Raw genomic sequence first — 24,777 nt, 5'->3', positions numbered from 1 at the left:
TACTTTTTAAAAAGATATACAAGCAATGAGTTTCAAGTTACTCTAGAATAATAAATATTCTCCAAGTATTTGTCTTTGAAAGCATCCTCTACTCCAGCACCTGTACTCTAGCACAGGATGATGAAACTAAAATTCATAGTATAGAACAAACATAAATATACATTCATATTACTCAGAAAACTAGAACCCACAGGGTTACCAGGGTCACTGCTGGTACATTTTTATAAATTTAATGATCACATTCATCTAAACAAAACCAAAAATAAGCAAACTCTTCCTACCCTTAACACATCTGGCTGTCCATCTTTCTTCCAAGCCAATGCCTACTACAAAACTTGCCAGGTTTTGTTGAGCATCTTACAAGGGCACCCCACAATCAAGGAAAATATGTCCACAGAAGGGAGGACAATGCTTTGTATTTGGCGTCCCACAAATTTATGAAGCACTTTGGATGGGTCAGCACAACACAAGGCGGCATAGTAGAAAGAGCAGCAGATGGGAAGGGAGAGGCTCCCAGCGGTAAAAACTTTAATGACACCATCTCCCAGAACATCCCACAGGTACTCTATCTTTTCCTCTGGCCTAAACCACTGCAACGAGCCCCTGCCTGGTCTCCCGGACTCTATTCTCTCCTCTGCCCCAGAATGATCTTTCTAGAAACAAAGATCTTTCCATACTTCACCTCTGCATAGACACCTTCCCTGAGGCTCCTCTGCCTACAGGGTAGAGTTCATCTCCTTAGCTGTCATGGCATTCTGCAGAGGCTCTTCACATCGCCATGCCTCCTTGCTCCCAGGCGGGCAGTACAGCATACCAGTAAATGCACACATGTTGCAGGAGTTTCTTGCTTGCTCCAGAACTAACCGTGAACAAGGCTTTTAAGCTTTTTAAGTAAGTTTTTTATGACTCAGTTTCTGCATTTGCCAAGCTGAAATCATAATGGCTACAGTGGGCTGTTATTCCATTTTAGAGAAATTATTTATGTAGAGCACTTAATACAATGCTTAAAACTCAGTTAAACCTCAATAAGCAGTGACAATTATAATTATTATTAATACATCACAGAAACTCACTAAATGTTTAATTGAAGAGACTCTAATCTCCACTAACCCATTATAATTATTATTAATATGTCACAGATACTCACTAAATGTTTCTTAACCAGAGACTCTAATCTCCACTAACCCCAGACAAATGACAACTTCTCTAGGTCTCAGTTTTCTCACTTTTAAGTATGAGAGGTGAGGAGAGGTATGGGGTGAGGGGTGGGGGACTAACACAGGAAACAATTAAATGCTAAATTGTGTGATAGTAACAGGGTATCTGAGAAATGACAACTGTTTCCCCAGCTTGAGAAATGTATAGATCAGCACTATAAAGGGGAAATATTCCTTTGGATCCCCTTTCCCCTAAGCTTTGACTTAAATTACATTTATTATAATGTTATTGAAGTATGTCCAAACATAAAACTAGGTTATGTCTTCTCTATGCTTTAGCTCTTATAAAACTATAAGGTAAACACTTTTTAAATCTGGTAAAAACACATAAAAGAAAGCTCAACATTAATTTAACATGACAGACAACAATGATGCAATTTTGCAGACACTGTATGGCTGCTTGCAATGTTTTAAATACAACAGTAGCATGGAGGAGGTAGCCTGCATTCACATTCTGCTTGCTGACACCAATGTGCGCTGTGACCCCTTCAGCTACCCAACACTTTTGTCTAACAAATTGCCATGAAACCTTTGTTCATACAACTTCCAGCCATCTTCTGACACCAACAAATCATTTCTGTAATAAGTTCACATCTGTTCCTCCCCCACTAGCTAGAGACAATTAAAGGAATGCTCAAACACAGTCAATAAAGTCTTCTGGCACTGCTCATTTATAAGGTCATCAAGATGTCACAGAATCTGTGATTTTTTTAAAAAATGTATTATTGGCCAAGCACAGTGGCTAACGCCTGTAATCCCAGCACTTTGGGAGGCTGAGGCGGGCAGATCACTTGAGGTCACGAATTTGAGACCAGCCTGGCCAACATAGTGAAACCCCGTCTCTACTAAAAATACAAAAATTAGCCGGGCGTGGTGGCACACGCCTGTAATCCCAGCTACTCAGGGGGCTGAGACAGGAGAATCGCTTGAACCCAGGAGGTAGAGGTTGCAGTGAGCCAAGACTGCATCACCACACTCCAGACTGGGCGACAGAGTGAGATTCCGTCTAAAAAAAAAAAAGTATTATTGAAAAGAATATTAAAAATGTAATTCTGGCTTTAAAAAATAACTCCCAGGAAAATGTCTTCAAACTCCAGTTTAAGAAACATTATTTTGGCCGGGCATGGTGACTCATGCCTGTAATCCCAGAACTTTAGGAGACGGAGGCAGGCAGATCACTTGAGGTCAGGAGTTCAAGACCAGCCTGCCCAACATGGTGAAACCCCGTCTCTATTAAAAACACAAAAATTAGCTGGGCGTGGTGGTGTGCGCCTGTAATCCCAGCTTACTCGAGAGGCTGAGGCAGGAGAATCACTTGAACCAGGAGACGGAGGTTGCAGTGAGCTGAGATCGCGCCACTGCACTCAAGCCTGGGTGACAGAGAGACTTCGTCTCAAAAAAAAAAAAAAAAAAAAAAAAGAAAAAGAAACATTATTTTAAAATAAACGGATCTTGCCACAGTATCCAGAAAGATGTTAGACATCTGAGAGCTAACTCTGTGCTGACACTTTTAGTGCTTTACACATAGTCTTTAATAACTCTATAACCCTATAAAGTAGGTAACACCCAAGGAAACAGAGGCTTGAACAGAGTCTCCAAGTGTTGGGGCAGCATTTTGAACTATCTGAATCCAGTACCTCTGCTCTCTGCCCTTTCAAGACCAGCCCTAAAGAGCCTCAGCAGAAGACAACCAGCAACGCACAACATAAATCCAGATGAAGCCTACCAGATGGGAGTGAGGGACTGAGAGAGAATAGGTGGCATTGTGAAAACAGAAATGGCAGGACTTGGCAACAAAATGGAGAGAAGAAGGAAGGATCAGAGGTAAGTCCTTGGACCTTTGAGATGGAAAGAATAGCTGCCCTGCCCCCTAGAAACAGAACTTCTGGGAAAAGCAGTCAGTTTGCAATATGAAACCTAAATTAAAACATGGTTGGTTTAAGGCAAAAGGGACTTACCACAAGTGGAGATGGATATTCCCTTAACAGATCACAGCTGGATATATTAAACTTTAAGTCATGTTCATAGAAAATATGTTTACAATGCATGAAGATTCTTTCAAAGATAAGGCAATCAAAGGTGTCCAGCACAGAAGAGATGGAAAACAAAAACTGGCAAGACAAGGACACCGGATTCTGAAAGAAGACTTTGTGTCAACAATAGCTTCACCAGATTGGTGTACAAAAGTCTGACCATAGGAAGGGGAATTATGACGGCTAAGAAACAGGGCCCATCTACCCATGTTAGGACTCACTGACACATCTTTGTGCCCACTATGTACTAAATACTGTCCTAGGTCCAGCCGTGAAGACCTCTGCACTCATGGAGGTTATGTTTTAGTTAGGGAGAGAGACAAAGAACAAGAAAGCAAATATATGGTCTGGAGTTAGGTAATGATATATGCTCTAAAGGACAGGAAAAAATAAAGCAGAATATGAGAAAGAATGATGTAGGGGGCAGGCATTTGAGATAATGCCATCTGGCAATCAACAAAAATCAACTGAACTCTTAAGAGGAGGTGGCAAGGTGAAATTCAAATTTTTAAAGCTATGAAGCCTTTAGTATATTCATTTAAAATATGTGCTGCCTACTACTACATGAAGCGCTATATTGGTGCTGGAGATTACAGGAAAACACACGCATTTGAAGGTATCTGAGAACTGGTGCACACTGAGGAGAAAACCAATGGCATGTGAAAGGCTGAGGAAGTACAGAGGGGAAGCCAAGGTTCCTGCAGGGCAAGTAGGACAAAACAGTGTCACCCTATGAATGACCTTTTCTTCTGAAGTTGCTTCCAACTTGAATATTCTGACTATATTAGAAAAGGATAGATGCTGGAGCAGTGATATGCTTAAGGGAAAAGAAAGAAGCAGAGGGAGGAAGATTTTTATAAGATTCGGCAACATTCATTCAACAGATAAATAACTGTTTATTGAGCAAGACCTATTGGGTGTCACAAGGATGAGATTCTGTGCTGAACAAAGGTAAGGCCGGGCATGGTGGCTCACGCCTGTAATCCCAGCACTTTGGGAGGCTAAGGCGGGTGGGTCATGAGGTCAGGAGATCGAGACCATCCTGGCTAACATGGTGAAACCCTGTCTCTACTAAAAATACTAAAAAATTAGCTGGGTGTGGTGGTGGGCACCTGTAGTCCCAGCTACTCGAGAGGCTGAGGCAGGAGAATGGTGTGAACCCAGAAGGAGGAGCTTGCAGTGAGTGGAGATCGTGCCACTGCACTCCAGCCTAGGCAACAAGAGTGAGACTCCGTCTCAAAAAATAAATAAATAAAAAATAAACAAAGGTAAGCAAAAACACACAGACATCTCAAGAAGGTTACAGTGAGACTGCCTTTGTTAGCACAGAGCCAAAAAGGATCAAACTGCGGGTATGGGGGAGAAGTAGGTGGATGCAAAAAGGATGGTGAGGCTATCACCCAACTGCAACCAAACTGAAGATGAGGGATCTGATGCAAAAGGTTAAAAGATTAGGGAAGTAACCATCAAGTCCATAGCTTAGGAGTAGTTTAACCGTGGTGTCCTTTCCATCCCACACTAACTACATCTGGATTAAAATCATCTGCTTCCTCCCAAAGATGTGAATCATGCCTCCTTTAATCTCTATATTCCCAATAACTTGTAAATAATGGAGTCTCAATAAATGCTTGGCTAAGGCTAAGTTATAATGACATGAGTAAAACAGGAGAGACTAAATAAAGATTTGATGGGTGTGAGAAGCAGGATAGAAGATTCCTGCTAGGTGTCCAAAGCAATTGTATTTGGCTGACATCTGAATGAACAAGACCCACCAGCAACTGCATCTAACTCACTGGACAGCCCTGAGAAAGTCACCTCAATTCTGAATCTGAATTTGTAAAAGGAAGATATTGGCGCAAACCAGAAGTTGCAGGCCTTTCAGTGGAAAGAAGGTGGCTGTTATTACACTGAAACCTGGAGAGTGCATCTTTGCTGCCCTGGTAAGGGGTACCGGCTTCCCCTTAAGCTGTGCTTCCAAACAAATTATAGAGAGGAGAACATACAGCTGGTATGGCCACCAAAATAAGGACCTTTGAGGCTTGTGAACAAAACAGATGCGCTTGTGTGTGGCAGGTAAGGAGACAGGGGTTTGGAGCAGGAGCAGCAGAGACCAGTGGTAATAAGTTATACAGATCTCAGAGGTGAGACAACAGATAGCCCAAGGAAAGAATGGAAGGGATGGAACAGATATCTATGTTTGCAAGGTGGTTCTCATGTCTGGCATGTACACACCCAGGCACCAAGACACACAATAAGTCAGGGAGAAGTAGATTTTACACAACCTAAAAACTTTAATACTAATTTAACAGCTGTTAGAGCAATAATAATCCATTAGCAAGATCACCTGTAACCTTTGAAAAGCTTGTTTATTTACCATATTTACAGAGTGCCATCAGACTATATTTTGAGATTCTGACAAGTTTCCATTTAGGATCACAGAAAGACCTGACATTTCGGCTTGGCATGGGAAATTATGTAATTTCCCATGCCAAGCTGAATTCCCCAACATTACAGGAAAACCCACAAACCCTGCAGAAGGGAGTGAAAAGCCAATCCAGTCAAAGGAAATCTTCCAGTTCTACAAAAGAAAACAAAAAAACAAATACCACAAAGAGCAATGAATCATTTCTAGTGAATAACTTTTCACTCCATCTTCAATAATGTCATCCTGAAGCCCCTGAAAACTATTAAATTACATATTCTATATTCCTGGTGATATCACTGCCTAAAATTACACAACTTAAAGCAGTGAGGGAGCTGACGACTGGTAAGAAATCTTCAAGGACGTAAAAGGCCAGAAAAAAATCATGTGTTTGAAAATGCCTGCGAAATAATAAACGCCTGAGGGAACTTGATGGCTTTGCTGCTTCTAAGCTAAATAAAGCCTGGGGGGCTTTGCAAAGGTCCTAGTGAGGATAATCTCCATGATTACACAGAGCAAACATCCAATCAATTCCACATGAACCCAGGAAAGTTAATCCAAGAAGAACACCACCACTTAAAATATTGAGAAAAACACACAGTTCTTATTGTTTAAATGCTCCATCAGCGCTGGAGAACGTATCAGGTCATTCTAACAAGTCAGAACACTTGACTAGTGTTTCTGTGACAATGATTTGGCTTGTGTTAACTAAAGGGCAACAAGAAGTTTGCGTTCCAAAGCTCAGGCCTAAAACAGGTCCAATCCCCGACTGCCAGCAGTCTCCCTACTTCCTGCACACCTTTGGATTATTGCACACCGACTTCCTGCACACACCTGGGTTTGAGACACCTTCCCCGAGGGGTTACTCTAGCTAAGTTCCCGAGGCAAGCTTGAAAGAAGTTCGCTGTACCCCTACTCTCGGTCAAAGCACCATCAGCACATGTCGCTTGACAAGTTCGGCGGCAATGGAGTGATCAATTTACATAAACAACTCTGAAGAGATAACGCATCACTGCAAGGAGAGAAAGTCAGCAGGACGACTGTGCCCGCTCCGGGAAAGGCGGCTGCAAGGCTGGCCCGCGGGCAGAGCCTCCGCTGACGTTCACCGCAGCTCCCACCACGCAACAGGTCCACGTAGGCAAGGCCCGGGCGGCCGGCATCTGGGCACCTGCCCCTAGCGCTCCAGGCCCAGCTCTCCCCTGCGCCCATCTCGCGTCCACCCCCGCAGCCACCGCAGGCCAGCCGGCCAAGCCCACCCGCGATAAAGCACGGAGCACATTCCTCATTCCTCCCAAGATGCCGAGATAGTGCGGCCCGCTTGAGCGCTGCCCAGGTCACAAGGTCCTCCGGGACATGCCTTGACTAAAGGAGAGGCGCGCCCGGCCCTTGGTGGGGGAACGACCCCGGGGAGTGGAGGGGGGGAGGATGCAGTGCTCTGTAGCTTCCAGATGGAAACAGCCCGAATCACCCGGCTTCTCACCTGACCGGGCACAAGTGCCAGGTGTCAGTACCTAGCATGGATCTAAGTTACTTAACAGTCCAGAACGCTTCTCCAATAGCACGAGCCCCAGTGACTACGCGCAAAATATCCGGTCACTTTGAATAAAATGAAAAGGAACTTTTACTGGGAAAGGATGGAAGTAAAGAGACAGGGGGAGAAAGAAGCAGGTGAATGCATAAAAGAGGGAAGGTTCCTTCACGCCGGACCCGGAGATGGAAGAGGGGACGAGAGAGGATGGGAGCGGAAGGGACAGCAGACGAGCGGGCAGAGCGCTCAGGTGAGGCCGGACCCTTACCTCGGGCAGCTCGCGGAGCTGGTTGGCGTCCAGCAGCAGCTCCTCCAGGCTCCGGGCATAGCGGTAGATCTCCTCGGGGACGTAGACCAGCGAGCAGTGGCGCTTGTCGATGCTCTCCACATGACGGTTGCACCGCCACAGGGGGATGCAGTGGAACATCGCCGCCCCCGCCGCCGCCTAGCCGGGTCCCGAGCGGCGGAGACCCGGGCTCCGAGCCCGCTCTGGCCGGCGGCTCCGCTCAGTCCGCTGCCCTCTCCGCGCTCGTTGTTGGCTCTTGGGTTAGCTCGCTTCTCGCGCCGGGCTTCGCGGTCGGAAGTGCTTCAAGGAACCTGGAGCGGGAGCCCCTGCCCCGTCCCTGTACCCCCGCCCGCCAGCCGGTGCCTCCACTCCCACCCGCCAGTCGCCGTCGCCGCCCCCGCCGCCGCGCGGAGCTTCCTACTCGCAGCCGCCGCGCGGACTGAGCATGCGCGCCAGTGGGTGCGCGCCGAGGGCGTTTCCCGGCCCGAGGGATGCTCCGCTCCGGGTTTTCCCGGCGACCTGCATCCAGAGAGGGTCGACTGACCTGCGGGCCGGCTGCTGGCGGTCTGCTTACTCCGGCAAAGACGGGGGCGCATCGGGCCGTTTGAGGAAGGCAGACTGTGAAAGGACTTGGGACAAAGATGAGGCGGAGTAGAGGCGGCCTGAGCAGAGCAGAACAACTTTGATATTTAGTTTTATTTAACTCGCACTCCTCTCCTTGCTCCCCTTCCCCAAAACAACTTTCTCTTCCGGGGTCACACAGGACCGCCCCAAAGCGTACCTTGCGCGCCGGGGGCGCCAGGCGCTACTGGATTCGGTGTAGTTTTGAGGTGTTTGCACCACCCTCGCTGCTGCTTTCGTGGCTGCCCGTGTGCCCGCTGCTCACGGCTGCCCCAGAAGTGTGAGCTGGCCGCGCCCGGCCCTCTGGTCCTCGGGCACCGCCTGCAGGCTTTGTAACTTGGGAGCACATCTCTGGTGATCATGGTTTATGCAGTGAGTGATAGTAAATCCTCCTCCCTGTACCAGCAAAGGCATAGGAGTCTGAGAGTCTGCGAGATTCTCATAGATGTGGTTGCACCTGGCAAGGAGCCCAGCTGCAGAAATAAGCAGGCAAACGCGAGTTTCTGAGCCAGTTCCAGCCCGGCCCAGATGTTGGCCCCTGACAACTAGCTGTGGCTGGTGCGGAGGGAGGAGCGAGGGAAGAGGGGCAGATCGAGGCTGCCAGGTGAGCATCCTCCATACAGCTCCTGCTTTTCTGCTACAACCCCAGTCCCGTCCAGCCCGGATGACCGGGGAGGCTCACTATTGGGTTATAACAACCATTCCCTCGCCCCGACTCATTCCTGCGGACCACGGCCGGAATCCTGAACTGCCCCTCTTTGCCTGTAACTGTTTGCAACACAGTCCCCATCTCCGAATAACCAAATTTTCTCCTTTAATGAAGGGTTGCTAAAGTCAAGGTCAATCACAATGATGAATCATTTCCTTGGGGGCTTCTCTGATTCCCCACCCGGCCGCCCCTTCGTTCCACACTTTCCCTTTCAAGCATACTCAAACTCCAGGTTTCCACCTGCGGCCGCTGCCACGCTGGCTCTCCCACACTCACTCCCGCCCTCCAGCTGCTATAGCTAAAATCTGGAGCCACGGAGTTCACTTTTCTATAGAAGACAAAGCTGAGCATGCTCAGTGGCCAAGGCAAAGTTTGGTCGGAAACTAGTTTTTGCATTAGACTCTCCATGGGCTCCATAGACTCTCCTGTACCTTACGACTAGGCACAGGAGCGTTTCCCCGGTGAAATGGAGAAGAGGACACTTGGTCTTTTCAACTTTACTAGGAGGGCTCCTTTCTTCCCAGTCCGTAAGGAGGGGTCTGACTTTCATTTCCACCCCAGCATTATCACCTTAACTCTCATTCCAGTCAATCCCGAAACTCCGTTGCCCTACCCACTTCACCCTTCTTTTGTTTGTCCTGATTTGATTCCTGCGTTCTCACAGAGGGCTACCTGGACTTTGAACCTCCACCCCCCTTTCTACATTCTTGCATTCCAGAAACATATGAAGCTCATTTCTGCCACCCTTCCTAGAAAACTGGTTCCTGACAGAGACATGTGGAAAGGTAAGTAAGTCCCTGTCTTCAAGTTTTCCAACTGCTTTTTAAAAAAAAAATTAAAGAAGGCTAGTTCCCTCCATTTAAAATAATGTGATTTCCAGAGGTTATCACACTAGATTATTTTAACGAACACCAAATGTATTTTAAAGACGTGTCCAGTCTTTTAAAAATTCAGACCTCAATAAGCATTCCTTGTGTGCCTCTCCATGATGCTTCAGCTTCTCTGTGTTATTATTTTTGTATCACCTTAATCCGAAAGAGATTATGACCTCTTAAACAACAGATACTGTCTCACTTGCTTTGTAGATCTGGGAAGCTGCCACAGTGCCATATGCACAGTCAATGATCAACAGTTTTTGTTGATTTAATTCTATGGGTAGTCACTGGGAGAATTCTTGACTTTCCTTGTTTCCAATAATCTGCCAAGAATTTGAAACAGCGTAGTAAGAGAGAAAAAATGAAACAACACCTTGTCAACTACAGAATAGGGAAGCAATTAACTTTTTACTCACCTGAAGAATTTTAGGGTTTCCCGCCTGATAAAACATCTAGTTTCTTCCGCCACATACAAATGAGTTTGACTCAATTTAAACAAAGTTTAAAAAGACCACCTAAATCACTTTATTCTTAGAATAATGTAATTCTTTTATTCATTTGTACTGTGAACCATGTTTTCACAGCCTTTGAGCTAAAGAGATCTGTGTTTGAACTCTTGTTATGCCACTAGCTTCGTAGAAATTGACAGTTTACTTAACTTGTATAAGCCTCAGTTTTATCATATCTCAAATGAGGATGATTCATGGGATTGTTATCTGGATTAAATGAAATGACATATGTAAAATGCTTAGTACAGTATCAGACACACATTACTTTAATCAATAAATATTAATTATGCACTTTATTAGCCAGCCTCCAGGAAGTTAGGGACAACATCCACCATCTCCTGGTTGGTCTATGTAACCAACTTTTTCTTTCTCGAATCACTCACTTTGGGGAAGCCAGCTGCCATGTTGAGCAAATCTAGAGCTCCACATGCCAAAGAATTGCAGACTGCTGACAACAACTAGCAAGGGACTGACGATTCTTGGCAGTAGTCATGTGAGTGAGCCATCTTGGAAGCCAGTTCTCCAGCCCTTGTCAAGCCTTCAAGTGACTGCAGCACCAGCTGATAGCTTGACTAAAACCTCATGATAGCCTCAGACTCAGGACCACTCAGCTAAGCTGCTCCCCACTCTTGCCCCTCAGAAATTATGTGAGACAGTAAATGTTTGTTGCTTTAAGCTGCTAAGATTTGGAGTAATTTATTACACAGCAACAAATAACTAATAAAGGTACATACTATGCACCAGGCATTGTGCTAGATACTAGAAATGTAAGAAAAACAAGATAGGTCTTAGCCTCATGAAGCTTACTCTCTGAAGTTAGGAGAATGATAAATACTTAGTGGTCTGTTGTTGCTTTATCATTAATTTTTTGAGCATGATATCATTAATTTTTTTAAGTGAAAATCCAAAGTGTTAGCGTGTAAGATAGGGATTCTTGTAAATGGGGATTCAGAGGTTTGGGCATGTGAATTTTAATGTGACATACCACCGCCTAACCACTAGAATGACTTAAAATTAAAGAAAAAAAAAAAAAGACAATCCCAAATGTTACTGAAGATATAGAGCAACTTGGCCCGGCAGAGTGGCTGACACCTGATTCCAACACTTAGGGAGGCCCAGGCGGAATGGGGTGGAGGGATCGCTTGAGGCCAGGAGTTCAAGACCAGCCTGGGCAACATAGGGAGACACCCACCTCTACAAAAAATAAAAAATTAGCCTGGCATAGTGGCATATGCCTGTAGTCCCAGCTACTCAGAAGGCTAAGGTGGAAGGATCACTTGAGCCTCCTAGTTAGTTTGAGGCCGCAGTGAGCTGGGCACTGCACTCAGCCTGGACAACAGCATAGGACACTGTCTCAAACAAATAAAAAAATGGAACAACTGGAATTCATACACTGCTGGTGGAAGTGTAAAATGGTAAAACCACTTTGTAAAACAATTTGGCAGTTTATTGTAATCATATGCCTACCTTAATGATCTACCCATTCTACTCCTAGGTATCTGCACAAGAAAAAGTGAAAACATATGTCCAAGCAAGGATTGTTTACAAATGTGCATAGCAGTTTTGTTAATAATAGCCCCAAACTGGAAACAATCCAAATATTCATCAACAGACGGATACAGTGTAGTATAGTGAAACAATGGACTAGCATTCAACTAAAAGGAGCAAGCTACTAATACATGTAGCAATGTGCATAAATCGCAAAAACTATGTTGTGTACAAGGCAAACACAAATGAGTACATACTATATGATCCCATGTATATAAAATTCTGGAAAATGCAAACTAATATAAAGTGACACAACCTAAATCAGTGGTCTAGAACCTGTTAGTTGGGTTGTAGGAGGGATTGTGGTGATAAAGATTGATGATGAAAAACAGAGAATTTGTAGGGGAAGTGGGCGATGGAAATATTATATATCTTGATTGTGGTGTAGTTATGTGGGTATATACTTTTTTCATCAGACTGTATAGTTAAAATAAGAAACTATTACATAAGATATATATATCACTAAAATTAATTCTAAAAATTAAAAAGTATACAGGTGAATGTATCCAACAAGTTGCAAATTACATCTAGGGTTAGGGATCATGTTGTATTAGTTGCTCAATAAATATTTACTTGTTCACTACATGCCAGGCACTGGGTTAATTTGCTGGAGAGACAAAAAAGAACAAGACAGGGCTTTCAGTCTTACTGAAAGAAAGGCAGCTATCAAGGAACTTATAAATCATAGTACTATTGTAGTGTGATACAGCTTTTTTTTTCTTGATCTAGAGAGGATGACTTTTTGTCCTGTAAGAGATTATTTGAGGTATTTAGATAACAGGTCAAATAGCAAATTAAATCTTAATGATATACAAATCTGGATAATAGAAAGATAGGTCAATTTGTATATGAATCCCAAAGCCCTCTCTCAGAGAAGAAGCACTCAGATCCCAACTCATGATTCTCCAAGGTTGAGTTTATGGATATTTCCTGAAGATTATGTATCTGTGCTATAAGGGAAGGCTACACTCAAACCATTTGAGAAACCTGAGAGCCTGCAGAATTACATGGATACATTAGTTTAGAAGTCAGCAATGTTTATGATCAGAACCAAAGTAATTACCCTAAAATCTCTTTGATTCATATTACTATTTAAGTTGAAATTCTGTCCCCATCCCTTGCTTTTTGGTTGAAATGTTTAGTCCATTTACATTTCATATAATTATCAGATGATTTGGACTTAAATCTATTATTTTATTATTTGTTTTCCATGTGTACCATCTGATTTTTGTTCCTCTGTTCCTCCTTTTTTGACATCTTTTAAGTAAATAAATATATTTTATAATCTCACTTTATCTATTGGCTTTCTAGCTATCGTGATTGCTCTAGGGAATATAATATGCATCCTTAAATTTTCACAGTCCAGTTAGAGTAAATATACCAATTCATATAAACCCTTGCATATGATTCCTGCAATTATCTAGGTCCGTTTGTCAACTATCTGGTGCTTTATGTTACAATTTTTATGCAGATTACATTTATATGTTATAAACCCCACACAAAATTTTTCATATTTTCTTTTAAAATTCTTTAGTATTTTAAAGAAATAAGAGGAAAAAATTGTCTTTTATATTTACTCACACGTTTATTTCCAGTGCTCTTCATTCCTGTCTCATGTCATGTCTCTTCACCTGGAAGTTTGTTAAAGATTTATCTGCAGATGTCTTTATTGTACCTTAATTCTTTATAAATATTTTCAGTAGGTATACAGTTCTGGGTTGACAAGTTTGCTGGTTTTTTTTTTCTTCTCAGCACTCTAAAAATAATCAATTTTCTAATTTCTTATGAGAAGTCAGCAATAACTCAAATTGGACCTAATTTGTATGTAATATACCATTTTCTCTGGCTGCTTTTAAGATTTTCTCTCTGTTCTTGGTTTTTAGTAGTTTAATTAGTATATGTCTGTATTTATCTTGATTATGGTTTACTGAGCTTCCTGAATCTGTAAATTTATAACTTTCACCAAATTTAGAACATTTTCAGCCATTGTTTCTTCACATATTTTTTGCCCATTCTCTTCTTCCCTTTTAATACTTCAATTTTTAAAATGTTAGACCTCTTGATATTGTCCCACATATTTTTGAGGTTCTGCCTCTTTTTTCCCTGATATTTTTCTCTCTGTTTTCCACATTGGATAATATATACTGTTCCAGCTTCAAGTTTACTGGTTCTTCTGTCATCTTCAAACTGCTGCTAAGCCCATCAGAAATGCAATTTCAGATGGTGTATTTTTTAGTTCTGAAATTTCCATTTGGTTCTTTTTCTATATAGTTTCATTTATCTGCTGAGATTTCCTATGTGTTCATTTATTAAGAGTTTATGTTCCTTTACATATTTGATTAAGGTTATAATAGCTGCTTTAAACTCTTTGTAGGCAAATTCTGAAACCTGGGTCATCTTAGAGTCATTCTGCCTTGATTGCATTTTCTTTTAAGTATAGGTCACATTTTTCTGTCTCCTCATATACCTAGTAATTTTGGATTATGTCCTGGATATTGTAAATAATAGAATCTCTGGATTCTGTTATATTCCTCCAAAGAGTGTTTTTGTTTTGTTTTGTTTTAGCAGCCTGTTAGCTTGGATGAAATAAAACAAAAAACTCTTATTTTCTCTGTGGTACATGGCAGCTGAAATTTGTGTTCAGTTATTTTATTCTTAATTAGGTTGCTTAAAAGCTGAACTACACATGCATAATTTAGCGGTCAGTCAAATATTTGGACGATTTATATGCAGAATCTGGAGCTTCTGTTCTCACTCAATCCTGTCTGAGGTTTCCCGCTTCTCACTTTCAAGGTGCCTTTGTCACCCCAACTCTGATGTATGATACATTGAGCCAGATTGCTCTAAACATGAGTTTTAGCTGATCTATGTGATAGACTCTAGTGTATGCTTGTCAAAGTCATAAAAGCAGAAAATTCACTCTTCTTCCTAGTATAGATTTTCCTTCAGTTGCTGCTTGGTTTTGGCCATTCTGCAGTACCTTCAGATAGTTGATTTTTGCATTTTGTTCAGCACTGTAATTGTTATCTGTGGGAAAGTTGGTCATGTAGTAACCATTCAGTTGTTTTTTATAAATTGTAATCATTTGTTTATATAGCTTCACAGATTGTAAGAGTATGTGGACAATCCAAATTTTCTTATTACTAAGATTTTAATCTACCCCTCCATTCATAGGAGTTACAAATGAGCAAATTGAGTTTTCTGCTTTTCTGTTTTTCTCAATCTCCTTATAAAGGTTCTCATGATGAGTCAAATATTGAACAGCATTTTGCCTTGGTGGAAATGAGCCAAAACTACCTGTAGTGTGGGGTGGTATAAAGAACTCATGATTTTGCATTGAATTTTTGGATCTGCCACTACTAGGGATGAGATCTTGGGTTAATCATATTTAACTCCAATATTCTTTATTTCTACAAAGGCATGAAAAATGCCACCCTCAAATGGCTTTTGAGAGGATTATGGGTTAATGTAGTGGAAAAAGTTTTCCATACTGCAGAACACAACACATTAGGCATTATTCATTGTCAATACTCTTTGCTCAGTTACCAGCCAAAAGAAAGCCTATCATGTGAGTACATTGTTTAGGTAAACAATATGTAAATTATCATATCAGTTGATATGAGACGGTAAAGTATTTCAGTAGGAAAGAGACTATATCAAAGAAGCCAAATCAAAACCAGGTATCTGCCACTGAATCCATCTTTTTCCAGGCCTCTGCCTCAGCCTCATGGTCTCCTTCTTTGATAAAACAGGAAGGTGAAGCTTAGAGGTGGCTCAGGTTGTGGCAATGCTTTACATTTGTGTAATGCTTTATCGTTTAAAAAGAGTACATTAGCATACATTGCCTCATCTGATCAAAATGTACTTTTTAATCATTTAAGTAAACATAGATGCCTCATTTATTTTTCACCTTCATCCACAAAAGGTTTAAGAAAATCATATAGCCGTGTCTCTTCTTATGTTACTCTTATTTTATTGTTACAGTTCCTACAATATAAATTAAATCAATATAGACATTGTTTTCACTGAAGGCCAAGGTCTACTTTGTAATTAGTAAAAATTATACCTATGAGTGAAACCACTCCACTGAGCACTGTCATTCAAACAGTTCAAAGACCATTAGTGATCAAAGTATGTTGATCAGTTAACTAACATAAGCCTGAAAGATCTCCTATTTCTCCAGTCAAGTTAGCACTATCCATAAAGTTCATGCAAACTTGACTGGAGAATAAGATACCTTTTAGGGCTAGTCAACTTGAAATAATATGTTATTAATAATGCTGTCTTGAAAGAAAGAAAGAAAACTATTAACTTTCAGGCTGACAAAAACATTTAACTGTTTAAGCATACCATGATAGTTTATTTATGTTACTAATAAAACAATGAAGATCAGATCAACATGTATTTTTAAAAGTATAATATTTAGGTTTCATTCAATCATTTATTTCAGAAACCATCAGATATCTCTGCAATTCTAATTTATTCATACTATTTTCTATTACTGGGTCAACTGACAAATCTACTTTATTTGCTGTTTTCTTCCCACAAAATACAAGGGAGAAATGTTTTCAAAGAGCATCAATTTGTTGTAAAGTTTTTATTAATATGTGAGAAGCTTATAAACAAATACATTTCATTAATTATAGCACCTTAAAGGAGGTAAAAGTTAGAGAGTTTGGGTGGAAATATCAGTATCTGATACTGTTATAAATCCATCATTGAGACAAGTCAAATTAATTTGTAGGAAGGCAGTTCTACAGATGTGTCCTGCTTTAAGCAAAATCAAGCATAAAGATACCTAATCTCATTGCCAATTTCAATGCAGAGATGATTCTTATTGTCCTAAGATTTGTTGCTTTACCAAAAAGATTTACTGAAAGGTTTAAATGGATCATTATTTTAATGCAACTGAAACAATTTTATTTACCAAAAAATTAAGTTGCATACAATTTTGTGGGTACATTTCTAATGCACAAAGCTAAGTTTAACTGTATTCACCTTTTAAAAATTAAACTTAATTTTTAATTGATACAATAATTGTACATATTTATGGAGTATAAAGTGGTGTTTCCATACACGTATAGTGATCAAATCAGGGTAATTAGCATATGCATCATCTCAAATATTTAGCATTTCTTTGTGTTGGGAACATTCAATATCCTCCTTCTAGCTATTTGAAACTATATATTATTGCTCACACCTGTAATCCCAGCAGTTTGGGAGGCTGAGATGAGTGGATCACTTGAGGTCAGGTGTTTGAGACCAGCCTGGCCAACAAGGTGAAACCCCATCTCTACTAAAAATACATGGTGGTAAGTGCCTGTAATCCCAGCTACTTGGGAGGCTGAGGCAAGAGAATTGCTTGAACCTGAGAGGCAGAGGTTGCAGTGAGCCGAGATCACATCACTGCACTCCACTCTGGGCGACAAGAAAGAAAGGAAGAAAAGGAAGGAAGGAAAGAAGGAAGGGAGGGAGGGAGGGAGGGAGTTGCTGTGACAGGATTTTATTCTTTTTATGGCCTAATAGTATTCCATTGTGTATATAAATACCACATTTTCTCTATCCATTCATCTGTTGTTGGACATCTAGGGTGATTCCTTATGTTAGCTATTGTGAATGCTACTGCAATAAACATGCAGATGTATTTTCAACGTACTGATTTCCTTTCCTTTGGATAAAGGCCCAGTAGTGGGATTGCTGGATCATATGGTAGTCCAATTTGTAGTTTTCTGAGGAATCGCCATACTGTTCTCCATAGTGGCTGCACTAATTTACATTCCCACCAACAGTGTATAAGAGTTCCCTTTTCTCCACATCCTTGCCAGCATTTGTTATTTTTTGTCTTTTTGATAATAGCCATCCTAACTGGGGTGAGATGATACCTCATTGTGGTTTTGATTTGCATATTCCTGATGACTAGTGATGCTGAACATTTTTTAACATCATATTTGTTAGTTTTAACCATGGTTTGTTAGTCATTTCTAGGTCTTTTGAGAAATGTCTGTTCAGATCATTTGTCCATTTTAAACTTTTTTTTTTTGCTGCTGAGATGTTTGAGTTCCTTGTATATTCTGGATATTATCCCCTTGTCAAATGAATGGTTTGCAAATATTTTCTCCCATTATGTATGTTGTCTTTTCATTCTGTTGATTGTTGTTGTTTTTGCCTGTGCAGACACTTTGTGCTTTAGTATAATCCCATTTGTTTGTTTTTGCTTTTGGTGCCTGAACTATTAAGGTCTTATTTATAAAATCTTTTCCTAAACTAATGTCCTGAAGCATTTCTCTTATGTTTTCTTCTAGAAGTTTTATTGTTTTGGATCTTACTTTTAGGTCTTTTGTCTATTTTGAGTTGACTTTTTATAGGTTGAGATGTAGGAATCTAGTTTTAATCTTCTGCATATGGATATTCAGTTTTTCCAGCACCATTTATTGAAGAGACTGTCCTTTTCCCAATGTGCCTTATTGGCACCTTCATCAATAATGAGTTAGCCATAGATACATTAATTAATTTCTGAGTTATCTATTCTGTTTCATTGGTCTGTGTGTCTGTTTTTATGCCAGTATCATGCTGTTTTGGTTACTACCGCTTTGTAAGATATTTTGAAGGCTGGTAGTGTGATTCCTCTAACTTGGCTGGCTGGCTTGCTTGTTTATTTGTTTCATTGTTTTGCTCAGCATTGGTTTGGCTACTTGGAGTCTTTTGTGGTTTCATACAAATTTTAGGATTTCTTTTTGTATTTCTGTGAAGAATATCATGGGCATTTTGGTAAGGATAGCATTGAATCTGTAGTTTACTTTGGGTAGTATTGTCATTGTAACAATATTAATTCTTATAATCCATGAGCTTGAGATGTCTTTCCATTTGTTTGTATCTTCATTATTTCATTCTTCAGTGTTTTGCAGTTTCTTTGTAAAAGTCTTTCACCTCCTTGATTACATTTATTCCTAGATATTTTATTTTTTGTAGCTATTACAAATGGGATTGCATTCTTGATTTTATTTTCAGCTAGTTCATTGTTCATGTATGGAAATGCTGCTTTTTTATATTGATTTCATATCCTGCAACTTTACTGAATTTGTTTTATTCTGTTTTTTGATAGAGTCTTTAGGTTTTTCTCTACATAAGATCATGGAATTTGCAAACAAGAACAAATTGATTTCCTGCTATTCCAATTTATATGCCTTTTATGTCCTTCTCTTGACTAATTGTTCTGGCTAATACTTCTAATACTATGTAGAATAAGTGTGGTGAAAGTGGACATACTTGTCTTCTTCCAGTTCTTGGAAAAAAATCTTTTAGCTTTTCCCTATTCAGTATGATGTTAGCTGTGAGTTTGTCATATATGGCCTTTATTATTTTGAGGTATGTTCCTTCTGTGCCTAGTTGGTTGAAAGTTTTTATTATAAACAGATGTAGAATTTTATCAAGTGCTTTCTCGGCATCTATTGAGATGATCATATGGTTTTTAGTAGTCCTTCATTCTATTGATGAGATGTATGACATTTAATGATTTGCATATATTGAACCATCCTTGTATTCGTGAGATAAATAACACTTGACCATGGTGTATTATCTTTTTGATGTGTTCTTGGATTGGATTTACTAGTATTTTGTTGAGGATTTTTGTGTCTGTGTTTATCAGGAATACTGGCCTATAGTTTCCTTTTTTTGTTGTGTCCTTGTCTGCTTTTGGTACCAGGGTTTTGCTGGCCTCATAAAATAAGTTAAGAAAAATTTTCTCTGCTTCATTTTGTGAAATAGTTCGACAAGAATTGATACTAATTCTTTAAAGATTCAGGAGAATTCAGCAGTGAAGCCATCCAGTCTTTGACATTTATTTATTGGGAGATTTTCTGTTACTGACTCAATCTTGTTACTTGTTGTTAGCCTGTTTGAGTTTTCTGTTTTTTCTTGGTTGAATTTTGGTAGATTGTTTATGTCCAGGAAATTATCTATTTTCTTTTGGTTTTTTTAATTTATTGTCATGTATTTGTTCATAGTAGTCTCTAATAACTCTTTGTATTTCTGTGGTATCTGTTGTGACATCTCCTTTTAATTTATTTTATTTATTTGGATCATCTCTCTTTTTTCTTACTCTAGCTAATAGTTTGTTGCTTTTGGTTATCTTCTCCAAAAAAAAACGCAACTTTTTGTTTCAGTGATTTTTGTACTTTTTTTCTTAGTCTCAATTTTATTAATTTCTGCTCTGATATTTCCTTCTCTGATTTCTTTTCTTCTACTAATTTGGGGTTTAGTTTCTTCTTTCTTTTCTAGTTCTTTGAGATGTATCTTTAGGTCGTTTATTTGAGATCTTTGTAGTTTTTTGATGTAGACATTTATTGCTATAAACTTGCCCCTTAATACTGCTTTTGCCATGTCCTCTAGTTTTGGTATATTGTGTTTTTATTTTTATTTACTTCAAGGAATATTTAAATTTCTCTATCCATTGGTCACTCAGGAGCCTGTTATTTAATTTCCATGTATTTGTATAGTTTTGAATGTTTATCTTGTTATTGATTTCTAGTTTTACTCCATTGTGGTCTGAGAAGATAGTAGATATGTTTTCAATTTTTAAAAATTTGTTGAGATTTGTTTTGTGTTCTAATACATAGTCAGTCCTGAAGAATGTTCCACGTGCTGATGAAAAAGATTTGTATTTACCAGCTGTTGAGTAAAATGTTCTATGTTTAGTAAAATATCTATTAGGTCCATTTGATCTATGGTGCAGTTTATATCTAATATTTCTTTCTTCATTTTCTGTCTAGATGATCAATCCAATGTTGAGAGTGGGGTGTTGAAGTTCTCAACTGTTATTGTATTGGAGTCTATCTCTCCTTTTAGATCTAATAATATTTACTCTATATATCTGAGTGCTCCAGTTTGGGGCACATATACATTTACAATTATTATATTCTCTTGCTGAATTGATCCCTTTATTATTATGTAATGTCTCTCTTGTCTCTTTGTACAGCTTTTGACTTGAAGTCTATTTTGTCTAAGTATAGCTACTCCTGCTTGCTTTTAGTTTCTGTTTTTATGAAATACTTTTTATTTGAGCCCTTCACTTTCAGTGTGATTGTCCTTAAAGATGAGGTGAGTTTCTTTTAGGCAGAATATAGTTGGGTCTTATTTTATTATTATTATTCAGCCAGTCTATATCTTTTAAATGAGGAATTTAATCCATTTATATTCAAGGTTATTACTGATAGGTGACGACTTAATGTTGTCATTTTATTGATTGTTTTCTAGGGTTTTTTTGTATATCCTTTGTTCCTTACTTCCTTTCCTACTGTTTGTTTTTACTATTGGTTAGTTTTCTGTAGTGATGAGTTTTTATTCCTTCCCTTTCTCCTTTGTGTCTCTGCTCTACCATTGAGTTTTATAGTTTCTCATGTTTTCATGGTGGTGGTGATTGTTTTTTTCATTTCCAGATGTAAGACTCCTTTGGGTATTTCTTAAAAAATTGGTCTAATGGTGATGATTTCCATTAGTTTTTGCTTGTTTATGAAAGATTTTATTTTCTTCTTTTATGATGAATGGCTTTGCTGGGTATAACGTTTGTGGCTGCCAAGTATTTTTCTTTCACTACTTTGAATATATCATCTCATTCTCTCTTGGCCTATAAAATTCCTGCTGAAAAATCTAATGGAGATTTTCATATATGTGACTTAAAACTTTTATCTTGTTGCCTTTAAAATTCTTTATTTGTCTTTCACTCTTGACAATTTTAGTATAATCTGCCTCAGAGAGGATATGTTCAGGTTTAATCCATTTGGGGTTCATCAAGCTTCCTGGGCCTGAATGTCTGTCTTTCTCCCAAGACTTGGGAAGTTTTCAGTTATTGTCTCACGAAATATGTTTTCCTCACCTTTTTCCATGTTTTCTCCTTCTGGAACACCCATAATACCAACAAAATTTGTTCACTTACTGGTATCCAATAAGTTCTGTAGGCTTTCTTCACTTTTTTTTTTTTTTTTTTTTTTTTGGCCTTCCTTTATTATTTCAGAAGACCCATTTTCAAGTTCAGAAATTCTTTCTTCTGGTCTAATCTGTTGTTGACCCTCTTAGTTGTATTTTTTTATTTCCTTCACTGAATTCTTCAGCTCTAGGATTTTTGTTTTGTTCTTTTTTATGATATTGATCTCTGTTGAATATCTCATTCAAATCATGAATTATTTTCCTCATTTCATTAAATTGTCTTTATATTTGCTTGTATCTCACTGAAATTCCTAAAGATTTTGTAAAAATTCTTTTTCTGGCCTTTCATGTATTTGCTTATTATTGTTAGTGTAAAATTACTGTTTTTCTTTGGAGGAGTAATGTGTCCTTGACTTTTCATGTTTGATGTGTTCCTATGTTGATTTCTAAGCATCTGGTGAAAAAGTCATTTCTTCTAATTTTACGGAGTAGGTTTCATAGGGAAAGACTTACTTGTATGAGTGGATCTTAGGATGTAGGTTTGGTGGGATACATTGGCCTTTGTTCTAGGTGAATTCAGTAGTGTAGACTTCATGTAGTTTCTTCAGTTATCATCTGCACTAATGACATGTTACACATGAATATGACATCATATTGTCTGAGAATAGTTCAACCAGGCTGGGCGCAGTGGCTCACATCTGTAATCCCAGCACTTTGGGAGAGCAAGGCAGGCAGATCACTTGAGGTCATGAGTTCAAGACTAGCATGGTCAACATGGAGAAACCCCATGTCTACTAAAAACACAAAAATTAGCTGGGTGTGGTGGTGCACGCATGTAGTCCCAGCTACTGGGGAGGCTGAAGCAGGAAAATTGCTTGAACCCAGCAGATGGAGGTTGCGGTGAGCCAAAGTCATGCCACTGTACTCCAGCCTGGGCAAGGGAGCAAGACTCTGTCTCAAAAAAAAGAATAGTCAACCAATACCTGTGAAGACACTACTCTTTGCAAGTCCTAAGCCAATCACTATGTGAACTGATACCAGTTTTTTTTTTTTTTAATTATACTTTAAGTTTCAGGGTACATGTGCACAACGTGCAGGTTAGTTACATATGTATACATGTGCCATGTTGGTGTGCTGCAGCCAGCAACTCGTCATTTAACATTAGGTGTATCTCCAAATGCTATCCCTCCTCCCTCCCCCCACCCCACAACAGGCCCTGGTGTGTGATGTTCCCCTTCCTGTGTCCATGTGTTCTCATTGTTCAGTTCCCACCTATGAGTGAGAACATGCAGTGTTTGGTTTCCTGTCCTTGGGATAGTTTGCTGAGAATAGTGGTTTCCAGCTTCATCCATCTCCCTATAAAGGACATGAACTCATCCTTTTTTATGGCTGCATAGTATTCCATGGTATATATGTGCCACATTTTCTTAATCCAGTCTATCATTGTTGGACATTTGTGTTGGTTCCAAGTCTTTGCTATTGTGAATAGTGCCACAGTAAACATATGTGTGCATGTGCCTTTATAGCAGCATGATTTATAATCCTTTGGGTATATACCCAGTAATGGGATGGCTGGGTCAAATGGTATTTCTAGTTCTAGATCCCTGAGGAATGGCCACACTGACTTCCACAATGGTTGAACTAGTTTACAGTCCCACCAACAGTGTAAAAGTGTTCCTATTTCTCCACATACTCTCCAGCACCTGTTGTGTCCTGACTTTTTAATGATCGCCATTCTAACTGGTGTGAGATGGTATCTCATTGTGGTTTTGATTTGCATTTCTCTGATGGCCAGTGATGATGAGCATTTTTTCATGTGTCTGTTGGCTGCATAAATGTCTTGTTTTGAGAAGTGTCTGTTCATATCCTTTGCCCACTTTTTGATGGGGTTGTTTGTTTTTTTCTTATACATTTGTTTGAGTTCATTGTAGATTCTGGATATTAGCCCTTTGTCAGATGAGTAGATTGCAAAAGTTTTCTCCCATTCTGTAGGTTGCCTGTTCGCTCTAATGGTAGTTTCTTTTGCTGTGCAGAAGCTCTTTAGTTTAATTAGATCCCATTTGTCAATTTTGGCTTTTGTTGCCATTGCTTTTGGTGTTTTAGTCATGAAGTCCTTGCCCAGGCCTATGTCCTGAATGGTATTGCCTAGGTTTTCTTCTAGGGTTTTTATGGTTTTAGGTCTAACATTTAAGTCTTTAATCCATTTTGAATTAATTTTTGAATAAGGTGTAAGGAAGAGATCCAGTTTCAGCTTTCTACATATGGCTAGCCAGTTTTCCCAGCACCATTTATTAAATAGGGAATTGTTTCCCCAGTTCTTGTTTTCGTCAGGTTTGTCAAAGATCAGATAGTTGTAGATATGCGGCATTATTTCTGAGGGCTCTTTTCTGTTCCATTGGTCTGTATCTCTGTTTTGGTACCAGTACCATGCTGTGTTGGTACAGTACCATGCTGTAGCCTTGTAGTATAGTCCGAAGTCAGGTAGCGTGATGCCTCCAGCTTTGTTCTTTTGGCTTAGGATTGACTTGGCAATGCGGGCTCTTTTCTGGTTCCATATGAACTTTAAAGTAGTTTTTTCCAATTCTGTGAAGAAAGTCATTGGTAGCTTGAATCTATAAATTACCTTGGTCAGTATGGCCATTTTCACGATATTGATTCTTCCTACCCATGAGCATGGAATGTTCTTCCATTTGTTTGTATCCTCTTTAATTTCATTGAGCAGTGGTTTGTAGTTCTCCTTGAAAAGGTCCTTCACATCCCTTGTAAGTTGGATTCCTAGGTATTTTATTCTCTTTGAAGCAATTGTGAATGGGAGTTCAGTCATGATTTGGCTCTCTGTTTGTCTGTTATTGGTGTATAAGAATGCTTGTGATTTTTGCACATTGATTTTGTATCCTCAGACTTTGCTGAAGTTGCCTATCAGCTTAAGGAGATTTTGGGCTGCGATGATGGGGTTTTCTAAATATACAATCATGTCATCTGCAAACAGGGACAATTTGACTTCCTCTTTTCCTAATTGAATACCCTTTATTTCCTTCTCCTGCCTGATTGCCCTGGCCAGAACTTCTAACACTGTGTTGAATAGGAGTGGTGAGAGAGGGCATCCCT

At 39.7% G+C, this 24,777-nt stretch overlaps 1 protein-coding gene and 1 long non-coding RNA gene across 9 annotated transcripts in view, besides 3 other annotated features; one reads left to right on the top strand and one right to left on the bottom strand.

Moving 5' to 3' along the window:
* LRRC1 (leucine rich repeat containing 1) overlaps positions 1–7,879 on the bottom strand; it is a 129,121-nt gene extending 121,242 nt beyond the window's left edge. For all 4 annotated transcript variants that reach the window (XR_007059279.1, XR_001743505.2, NM_018214.5 and 1 more), the window contains exon 1: positions 7,469–7,879. Coding sequence is in view for 2 of the 4 variants with exons in the window: in NM_018214.5 (NP_060684.4) it covers positions 7,469–7,627 (159 nt within the window). In the remaining 2 variants the exon portion in view is untranslated. The remainder of the gene's footprint in view (positions 1–7,468) is intronic.
* Positions 7,095–7,807: an enhancer, noted in NCBI's record as "NANOG-H3K27ac-H3K4me1 hESC enhancer chr6:53659875-53660587 (GRCh37/hg19 assembly coordinates)". NCBI's record gives its function as "activates a minimal SCP1, AML or CMV promoter by ChIP-STARR-seq in naive H9 embryonic stem cells {active_cell/tissue: H9 hESC(naive)}" and the evidence as "EXISTENCE:reporter gene assay evidence [ECO:0000049][PMID:30033119]".
* Positions 7,774–8,013: a silencer, noted in NCBI's record as "silent region_17294". NCBI's record gives its function as "represses an Ori minimal core promoter by ATAC-STARR-seq in GM12878 lymphoblastoid cells {active_cell/tissue: GM12878}" and the evidence as "EXISTENCE:reporter gene assay evidence [ECO:0000049][PMID:35858748]".
* Positions 9,059–9,188: a silencer, noted in NCBI's record as "silent region_17293". NCBI's record gives its function as "represses an Ori minimal core promoter by ATAC-STARR-seq in GM12878 lymphoblastoid cells {active_cell/tissue: GM12878}" and the evidence as "EXISTENCE:reporter gene assay evidence [ECO:0000049][PMID:35858748]".
* Positions 9,209–24,777, top strand: part of LOC124901333 (uncharacterized) — a 54,194-nt gene continuing 38,625 nt past the window's right edge. For 3 of the 5 annotated variants that reach the window (XR_007059619.1, XR_007059616.1, XR_007059617.1), the window contains exons 1-2: positions 9,209–9,343; positions 9,535–9,601. This is a non-coding gene — a long non-coding RNA (uncharacterized LOC124901333). Of the gene's footprint in view, positions 9,602–24,777 lie in introns of all 5 variants that reach the window. The other 2 variants (XR_007059618.1, XR_007059615.1) reach the window with 1 other exon arrangement.

Source organism: Homo sapiens, chromosome 6 (genome assembly GCF_000001405.40).
Source record: "Homo sapiens chromosome 6, GRCh38.p14 Primary Assembly".
NCBI classification, from domain to species: Eukaryota; Metazoa; Chordata; class Mammalia; order Primates; family Hominidae; genus Homo; species Homo sapiens.
The sequence above is the reverse complement of the archived record's forward strand: the minus strand, read 5'-3'. Positions and strand labels throughout refer to the sequence as shown.